Below are 11,260 nucleotides of genomic sequence, written 5' to 3' on the forward strand. Positions count from 1 at the left end.
AACATACATGACCCATATGTTGACAAGTAGATATGCACACACAAAATCAACTAACTGTAAATAAACATAATCCTGTGGATTACTGTCATGGCCCCATATGTGTTTTTCCTGTGTGTGTTTTCCTAAGTGTAAAGACAAAAGCTTCATATTTTACTTGGGAAAGTAGATTTTTATGCCATTTGCAATAATATAATTAGAGAGTAGATATTTAAAAACAAGACTGTACAAAAGCAGGATGTACAACCTTCCTGTCCAGAAGAAAGTGCCTTAATGGACATTTTTTCCTTTGGCCATACATTCCCTCTTATCTTTGCTCCTCTAGCTGTGGGGCCATTTTGGTTCCATAGAAAAGCCACTACTTTCTCAGCAGTTGTTTCTGGATCCTGGATTCCTTCTGAATACTTAATCCCAAAGGTAAGTTAAGTATATAACTTGTTACCTTAGTCTTGTTTACTGAAGCTTACTAATTTTCATCCCATTACCTCTCTCCCTGCATTAGTGAATATTTCCTACAATAGCCTTTTTAGCAGTTGTTCATGCATTCCCCGTACGTGAAGCAAGTATGGGGCCCTGAGGACACAGAGGTGAATGAATGGGGGTCTTGCCTCTAAAGGGGCTTGGAGCTCTGTAGACACCTTAATATACTAAAATCTGCTCCTAGCCCCTCTCAGAAGTTGCTGCTGTGAGCCTTTATTCTCATCCACTGCTGAATTATGCCAGTCTCAGAGTTCAATCTGTCACAGGATAGCTGCAACTTGAATTCAAGCCAAGCTGGCTTGAATTCATGTGACTATGGGAATATAAGTGATCAGATATGTCCCCCAGAGTTCTTTTTTTCCTTCAGAATTAAATGCACATTTTAATGGTGTACATAGAGACAATACTTCTACATTTGTCGTTGAACCCAAAGAAATGACCCTAGTGATGGTCATGTTAGGTCAATAAGAACAGAATAGCAAACCTGGGAAGTAAGATTGTCTTTGGTAGGTCCCACAGGACCGCAAAGCATCTTGCACACACAGAATAGACATGAAAATCTTTAATGTATGGTTGAAACTTGATGGATGTTAAGGATCTGAAAAATAAGGTTATATGGGTTTTCCCTCTCCATAGTAAACCAAGCTACCTGGCTCTGTAGCCTAGTAATACTCATACTTTGAGAGTTTTATGTTTCTCCTCTGCCTAAGAACAACAGTCTTATGTGTTGCTGCAAATTAATTCTAAATACCTGGTAACAAATGTAAGCTTGCATTGATATTGTGAAAATTTTTTGTGTTTCTTGATGGGAATAATTTTCATACCAGATATGAAAAAATTGCATCTCCTATTTGATCCCTGCATTAGTTTCAGTTGTTGATGCTATCTTGATAAGGTCTCATGGACAACAGGACCAGCTAATAAAAAAGATCTCATCACCTACATTTGATTCACTAGCTATGCTTACAAAAACATGCACAAGTGAAATGGGTCAGAAGATTTCACAGTAAATCAATCTGAAACAATTGCTCAGCCAACGGCTTCTTTTTCGAACCTTAACGAGTTAGTCATCTTATCCATACTTCACCTGCCACTTAAATGAAAGAGGATTACTGAACAGATATTACCCCTTGAGCCTGAACCCAAACAATAAAAAAAATGCAAATAACATAATCTGAAACTCAGGCAGATAAAAACTTCTGCTGAGCCTTGTGCATATATGTGACCATAGATGGAGGTGGAATTAGAAAAAGTCATCAAATGTTTAATAAGAAACATTTTCCTTTACGATATAAAATTTTTGTTAGTTCTGTACAATGCATATCCTTTTTGGTAAGTTCTCACTGCTGAGTTCTGGCAGGTTTTTTCAAGATTCAGCTTTTGAATCAGTACTAAAGTACCAAGTAATACTTGGCAGTGAAAGAATCATATGTTTAATTCTTGAGTGAGGTTCAATTCCAAGGAATCTCATCTTGATGAGCAACAAAACAAACAACATTTAGATAATCTGGACCAGTGATTTTCAGACTCTGTTCCTTTCGGGTCTCTAGGGTTCTGCAGTGGTCTCAAAGTAAGTTGAGAACTGTGCTAATTTTTATAATATTTCAGAGGAGAGGTGTCCAGCTCTTGGATCAAAGATAAATTTTAAGTGCCTGTTTTTGTTATTGTTTTATTGGACAAAATACTCTGTGAGCCGTCAACCCACCAAATACATGATGGATTGATTTCTACCCTGTTAGTATTACAGACAATTTCCAAAATGAACATTACTCAAATGGGGAAACTATTAAAAATATGGCAATTTATTTAGTCAGAAATGATTTGGTCATTTAAAGTAGGGAACATTAAAAATGAAAAGGCAGGGTAGCTAATCCATTCATTGTACAATGTGTTTATTCCTGATCAATTATCTGAACCTATGATTAATGAATATGGCAAAACTTTAACTATACTCTTACCACACATAAAATAAACTGTGGTGCAGACTAAAAATAATGGAAAAACTACTTGCAAATAATAAAGACATAGATTCTCAAGAGGCAACTCAAAAATCTGTCTTTGAAACATAACTGGGCTTGGTAACAGAAAATGAAAAATGTGCTTAGTTTATCTTTGGAAGATTCATTTGTAATAGATCCTACTTTTTGATGCTCTAGGTATAAATCATAATACCTAGGCTCAAAAATAGTTTGGGATATAAGAAAGTCAAGACACTATGCTGCAGTCAGCTTAAGGAATTTTATAGGTAACTGGCTTAGAATATACAGCAATAATAAAAGTAATAATAATAGTCAGATTTATTGAATGCCTTACATGTGCCAGGTTTGTTGAACACTTTACATATAGTGTCTCTTATTTGTATCCCACAATTCATCCCTTTAAGACAATGAATGTACAGTCCAATATTAAAATAATACTGAGCAAAGAGTAGCTTGCAGCACAGTGTGTCTCCATTTGTAGTAACGAATGCCCAGTTATGGCAATAATGTGGAAGGCACACAAGAAAAGGGGAACCCATCAGAAGAAATTGGAGGTGCCATTTCACCCTTGTAGCAGGCCCCAACACAGATTCCTCTGAAGGAGCTAAAATAAGTCATTTGGTAAACGGTTGCAAAGAACACCAAAAATATAAGTACATGACTACATGTATTGAAGCTTTGCCTAATATAGTAAAACTCTTGGGCCTTAAAAATCATATAGCAGAGAACTTAAAAAGGCCCTCTGCTACAGATGGCATATTAGATTTCTAGGGATTCCATAACAAAATGATACAGATTTAGTGGCTGAAACAACAGAAATGCATTTCCTTACCATTTAGGAGGCCACAAGTCTAAGATCGAGGTGTTGGTAGGTTTGGGCTCCTCTGAGGCTGCTCTCCTTGTCTCACAGATCACCACTTTCTCACCGTGTCCTCCTGTGGTCATCCCTACGTCTGTGTTCAAATTTCCTCTTCTTATAAAGAAACCAGTCATATTGGATTAGGACCTACCCTAATTTCATTTTAATTTAATTGCCTCTTTAAAGAACTCATCTCCAAATGTGGTTACATTTTGAAGTAGTAGGACTTAGGGCTTCAACATATGAACTTGGCAGCAGGGCGTGGGGCAAAATTCAGCTCATAACAGATAGATTTATACATGTAGTTGCATATTAAAACACTTGGGAAAAGAGTAACATTTCTGTACACAAGACATACAGCAGTTTCTCAGAGTTCCTAAACTCAAAGGAGAACTGTGTTATATGTTTATTTTGAAAACATTATTTAAATATTTTTATTACCATTTTATTTCTGGATCTGTGTTAATGATATTCATTTTTTCACCTTCTCTTTTTGTGTGACTTATGGCTAAATTAGAAATCAGCCAACTGAGTCTGACTGTGATTGTCAATATTCCACTGGGGCCCTGAAAAGGAAAAGAGAGAATGCAAGCAATTTGCCAAGAAGATAAAGTCATTTCTACATTTTTTATAAATGCCTGGTTAATGAAAGATGGAAACAATAAAACATATCAGTACATGATAGAAAAGTGAAATCATGGTAGATCAAAGGAAAAGGAAGCAGCAAACAAAACTACAGTGATCTAGCAATCAGCAAGTTGTTCTGTTACTAACTTAATTTGTCCATTTATTTAATTTGATTTGTTTAATTTACTCAGAAAGTTAATAGTTCCTTGGAATCACAGTACCTTTAATTAATTCAAGGCAGTGCTAAATATGTGAAAACAGAGGGGATATCTAATTTCATTGAAACTGGTAATGAAATCACTTTTAATATAAGTGCACTTGACCACTTAGTCTTTAAGTTATTAAGAAATCTGATTTGGAATAAGCTCAAATTTACTTTAGCTTTTTGTTGTTTTTTTCTGAAATTTATAAAATGTATTTTGGTTGTTATTGTCAAGAATGTATGTGAACATTTGTATATATCAAAGAACAATCAATATCTCCAAGAACATAACAGCTGTTTATATGTTACAGTTGAAATTGTTGGGTTAGCCTTGTCCTCCAATGCCAATCAATGTTGTATTTTTAAATTAATAATAAAATGAAACTCTCAAACCTTTGATCAATTTGCCTTTTATATATCAAAATGTATTGTATAAATATGCTCAGTATTAACAGAAGTACTGAAAGTTTAAAACCATCTTTTTGTTTTATAATATTCAATGTACCTCACCCCACCACTTAACACTGGAGGTAGCTACCACTGAGGCCAGGAATATATGGACTATAGCTATAAACTGGGGCTCTTTTTAACATGAAAAGGTAAGCTAATTTCCAGCCTTCTAAATACAACTTCCAAATTCACTAAATTACTTCGTGTTCCTCCTATATGTTAGCATAATTTTAGAAGGTAATTCATTAGAAAAGCCCCCAGCTGCAAGTTCTAACCAAAAGTTATACATGTTATAGTCCAAACTCTTCATTCTCTTTAGCCAAGTGTAGATACTGCCTAAGATGGCTGATTTTAAATTAATTTGTATGATGATATCTGTCACTCACTTGTGAAACACTTCCTGAATATAGCTGACACAATCATACCCAATTTTCTGTTTCAGGGACTATTTAATGTTAAAAATGTCTCTAAGGAAATCATTCTAAGGAATGCCTCTAAGTAAATCTTTATATGTGGGGGATGGAAAAGACAACCCATCATGGTATTATTCTCTGACAACAAAAGAATTCCTGTTAATGGTTAGTAATGGTTATTATTGTTTGTTTTAAGTAGTGATCTTATAGTGATTATTAGTCGGAAATACTGAGAGGTCCAAGTTCATGCAGCAGAGGGCAGTAATGGACACTTGTCATGGTAAGAGAGATGAGCCAGAGATTATTACAAAGTAATTTTTCTGGAGAAAAGTGTTTAATGGCCTTTCCTATACCAGTGTTATTAAATAGAGGAGAACTGATAAATAAATGCATCTATTCCTCTCATGAAAAGTTTGCAACACTCTTCAAATATTAGATTGACTGAACTAAAAAAACATTCAGAAGGTTTTCTCTTATCTAACTTCATAGAAAAGGAACGATTTTCCTATGCCAAGGCATATGCAGATGTTGCCCATGTAGCATTGTAAAAGCTCTTCCAAACTACTCAGAAACAGAGGCAGGTAGGCAACTTTGTAAATGGTCTCATGACTGTGCAGAATGCATTGGAAATTAACAGCACCTTTTTCATCTTACTTACTACCACTTTATTATCTGTCTTTCTCTCACTACCTGAAAAAAATGCAACAAAATCCAAGGACTTCCATCTTTACCTTCCTTTAGTTGCTGTACTGCCTACTACGCTAACGATGTTAGCAATGTTTTGTCTTTGTTCTTTCAAAAATTACTTCAGCAAGCTGTTTCTTTCTTCAATCACATTATCCCGAATTTACACCTTGTTCCACCGCTTGAAATAAACCATCAAATAAAGCAGACCCAAAACAATGGTAGGAGGTGAGGATGTTATTCAAAATTTTCATAGGTAAAAATTTGAAGGTAGAATCTGGGAATACATGATGGCATAGTTTTTCTAACTCATGCGGTGCTATGTAAAACCAGAAAAAGAGATGAGGATAACAATTCCCCAAAATGCACATACGAGCACACACCACACACACACACACACACACACACACACACACACACACACATCTAGAGTAAAATTAGGTGACAAGGTGAGTAAGCCTAATTCCCAATAATTACAAGGCCCACATAATATCAGTTACTATAAAAAAGGAAGTTTGGGCTGGGTGCGGTAGCTTAGGCATGTAATCCTAGCACTTTGGGAGGCCAAGGCAGGCAGATCACTTTAGGTCATGAGTTCAAAACCAGCCTGGCCAACAAGGTGAAATCCCGTCTCTACTAAAAATACAAAAAAAAAAAAAATTAGCAGAGTGTGGTGGCGGGCGCCTGTAATCCCAGCTGCTTGGGAGGCTGAGGCAGGAGAATCACTCAAACCCAGGAAGTGGAGGGTTGCAGTGAGCCAACATCATGCCACTGCACTCTCCAGCCTGGGTGACAGAGTGAGACTCCATTTAAAAAAAAAAGGAAGTTTGAGGGAAAGCAATGGAGCTCTGAGAACAAGAGAATCCTCAAATTTCCAACAGATCCTCATTGGAAAGAGCACAGCCAATCTGAAAATAGTAGACAAAATCAGAAGAAAATGGATTCTGCAGGCCCTAATTCCAGGATCAAAGCCCCTGGTGAGGAGAAATTGTTTGGAGTAGAATCCAAATTGAGCAGGCTAAGAAATTAGGGACAAAAGAAAAAATTCTAAATGAAAGTCAGGATGGAGAGGAAGCAGATCTCAAAAATGTGACACCATTTTAAGCATCACCTCATAAAAACAATAGAAGAGGGGGTGCCAAGAACAATGAAACTAGAAAAGTTATTCTGGCCCAACCATCTCTCTGATAGCAAAGGAAAACTTATTTGCCTTAAACCTGGTAACCAAACGAGACTGTGGTCCAATCATGTGTATATCTAATATGACAAAAAAGAAAACAAGGACAAAATAGCATCAATAGAAGCAAGCTATAAAGCAATGTCAGAGAATACATATAAACAGTAACTTAATATTCAAAATATGCTACAATTTTTAAGAAATATATGTAAACAATGAAAGAACATTATAAATCAGAACTAGAAAATTTCCAATCATGTTTCAAGAAAAAAGGATTTGAAGAAGTGATGTAAGAAGAAAAATCATTTCAGAATGAAGATTAAACTGGAAAGAACAAAAAAGCAACATATAATGCTTTAGGATAAATATAAGATGGGAAAGAGAAAATTAGGAGAAATAAGTAAAGAGATAAAAAATTCAACAGAATAATATAGATGCGATAGATAAAGAAGATCCAACATACTTATAATAGTTTTCACCAAATAAGAAACACAAGCAATGAAACAAGTCAAATACTAAAAACAATAATCAATTTTTTTTCTAAAATAATGAGAACAAAACCAAAAAGATTTCAAACTACCTATATACTTTCTTAGGGGAAAATAAATCCAGGATGGACAACACCATGACATATTCTAGTAAAACTACTGACCTTGAAAAAAACAACCTTTGGCCAGTGGGCAAAAACATCATGTCACTTACAAAGAACATTTCAACAGACACGTTTTATATCAGAAGACAATTAAGTAACATATTTAGGATACCCAAGAGATGAAAATGTGAACTAATAATTTTAAATCCAGCTAAACTGAGCTTCACATAACAGTTTTCAGACAAAATGGTTTACGAATGCAAGAAGTCAGAAAACATTATTACATAAGCCCCACCTTGGAAATTTACCAGAAAACAGTATTAAAACAACTACAATGATTGGCAAGATTGAAATATGGACTGATATGAAAGACACTGAGCAACTAAAGACCTAGAGGGGGGAAAAAACTGACTTTAAGACAATTAGTAAAAGAAGATCTAAAATTTTATCAATTAAAAAAATTCTGTCAATGCTCAATTTACCACGAAAAGACCCATTTTTGGAAGGTCATATTTTATTTCCTTTTATAGACCTGCTGTCTTGTATTTTACTTAGTCTAACATTAAATGAATTACAATTCCCTAAGTAGTCACATTTTTTGAAAGAAAGAAGCCATAAATCATGTCACTTATTGGCAGAGATAGGGCTAGGGATAAATTCAGGACAGAAAATCCAAAATATATTATAGTTGAGAATAGGGACTATGATAAATATGAAATCACCTGTAGAACTAAGACTATATGATGTTCTTCAGAGAAAAACACAGTATTATCTAATGGCTAAATGCAGCAACAAGTTATATGAGAGAGACTAACAGACTAATCTGCTTGTGAATATTGATGTCAGGTAATTTTAAGTAAAATAGTAGTAAAGAAGATCCAAAAGCCTTTTTAAATAATAAACCATGACTAAATGGGGCTTATTTAGAAATATAAGTTTAGACAATACACTAATATGCTCCATCAGTATAATAGAGCTAAGGAGAAAAATTATATATGATCATTTTCACAGATGCAAAAAAAGCATTTGGCAACACTCAACCAATGCTATTCATGTTAAAAAATTAATCAATAAAATGGGAATCTATGAATGCATGTATACATGCACCTCATTACAAAAGTTAGCATCTTCACTTAATAGCAAATCACTTGATGTTTAAATGGGAAACTCAGACAAGAATGTCCACAATCTCCACTTCTGTGAGCACTGTGTTAGAGGTAATAGTCATTCAATTAAGCAAGAGAAAAGTAACAACCATAAGAATTAGAAAGTATAAAGTAAACAATTTCTATTTGCGTAAGTATATATCTAACATAAGTATAAATGTGGAAAATACATTTGACATAATTATATATCTGAAAAATTCAAAGAACAGCACTTACTAAAGAAGCAGTTTTAAAGCTTAATATCCAATAATTATTAGCCTTTAGGTATTTTTAAAAATTTAGAAATTAGGCCAGGCGCAGTGGCTCATGCCTGTAATCCCAGCACTTTGGGAGGCTGAGGCGGGCAGATCATGAAGTCAGGAGATCGAGACCATCCTGGCCAACGTGGTGAAACCCCGTCTCTACTAAAAATACAAAAATTAGCTGGGTGTGGTAGCGCACACCTGTAGTCCCAGCTACTCGGGAGGCTGAGGCAGGAGAATCTCTTGAACCCCCAAGGTGGAGGTTGCAGTGAGCCGAGATCATGCCACTGCACTCCAGCCTGGTGACAGAGCAAGACACCATCTCAAAAAAAAAAAAGAAAGAAAGAAAGAAAGAAAGAAAGAAAGAAAGAAAAAAAACCCAAAATTAGAAATTATAATGGAAGAGAAGACCCCATGTCAATTGCCAAAAGCTAATAATGTAATAATGCAACATAACCCACAGTATAGAAAATCTATGTGAATCTATGTGAATGTAACTGTAATACTAGACTTCTGAAAAAAAATTTTAAGAAGCCTAAGGTGAACATAAAGTTATACAATGTTCTTTAAGTGGAAGACTCAAGATCATAAAGATATCCATTATTCCTGAGTTAATTTATAAATTTAATATAATCTCAATAAAAATACATCATATTTCTTTTTTCTCTAAACTGGGAAAGTTTATTTAAAATTAATGTATTGAATAAACGTCTTTTGGGAGAGTAAACAAGAAGGATCAGGAAAACTCTGAAAAAGAAAAGTATTGGTCAGAGGACTGGAGATACACTTACCAGAAATTAAAGCCTCTGGAAAAGAGGTTACTTTGTTACTGTCACATAAACAGACACACAGACCAATATGATACAATAGAAAATTCAGAAGTAGAGTCAATTGCATATGAACATTTAGTATAAGATAGAAGCAGCATCTCAAATACATAGAGGAAAAAGATGGATTTTTAAAAAACAAATCTTACTGTGTACATATGAGGTTTACAACATGTTGTTACGGGATACATATAGATAGTAAAATGGTTAAAATAATGAAACAAATTGACATACCTGTCATGTCACATAGTTACTTATTTTTTTGAAGTATTGGTTTAACTAGATAGACATATGAAGAAAGTTAAAACTGGATCTATTCCTCACACTGCAACATGACACATTCCAAATGAATAAAGAACTTAAATGTAAAAGAAATAAAACAATGCAAGAGATAAAAAGAAAACACAGATGAATTCCTTTATAAATTCAATTCCTCCATAACCAGAACACTTTTACTTTTGGCTTAAATACAATAGTAATAAAGAAAAAGACTGGAAAATTTGATGTCATAAAGATGGCTTTTTCATGGCAAAAATCACTACAAGCAAAGCTAAAAGATTAATGACAAAAGGAAAAATATGTGCATTTTATACCAAGAAAAAATAGTGAATATCTTTAATATATGAAGAGCTTCTAAAAATGAAAAAGGAAAAGTTAAACAACTTTACAGAGAAAATAGCCTGGAAAGGTGAACAGAAAGTTTTGAGAAAAAAACTAAGTATCTCTTTAAAAAAGAAAAAAAATGTTGGTACATAATAAGAGAAATGCAAATTCAAATTATACCAATATACCATTTCTTACCTATCAGATTGCAAAAATCCATTTTTTTTTTTTTTGGATTTTTGACCATATCTCTGCAGCAAGGCTGTGAGAAAACAAGCACCCTTGTACATTCTGGTGAGAATACAAAATGGTATCACTTTGTATGGAGAGGAATTTGACTATCTAATGAAGTTATACATGCATTTGATCTTTGACTCAGTAAGAAATCCCACTCTTAGGAATCTCTTCCAGAGAACAAAGAAGGAGACAAAAATTGAGAAAAGGGGGATTGGTAAAAAGTAACTTAATTTTATACATTTCAGTATTATTTAAATATTTTATAGTTCATTTCTATTTTTGTTTAAATGATGTAAATATTAAGATATACCTATATTCAAGTGTTATATTACTTGAATAGGTAAAAAAAAACCCACAAAATTTAAAAATGTTAATATCCAGGAAATACAGCAATAAAAGACCTAGAGTGAAAGGCAAAACCAACTTCAAGACAATTAGTAAAAGAAGATCTAAAAAGCAGTAAAAGAAGATCAATTAAAAAATTCTATCAATTCTCAATTTACCATTAAAAGACCCATTTTTGGAATTCCATATTTTATTTCCTTTTACAAACCAGATGTCTTCTATTTTACTTAGTCTAACATTAAATGAATTGCAATTCCCTAAGTAATCACATTTTGTGAAAGAAAGAAGCCATAAATTGTGTCACTTAGTGGCAGAGATGGGGATAGGGATAAATATTTGGGACAGAAAATCCAAAATATATTATAGTTAAGAATAGGGAT

This window comes from Homo sapiens, chromosome 4 (assembly GCF_000001405.40).
Source record: "Homo sapiens chromosome 4, GRCh38.p14 Primary Assembly".
Lineage (NCBI taxonomy): Eukaryota > Metazoa > Chordata > Mammalia > Primates > Hominidae > Homo > Homo sapiens.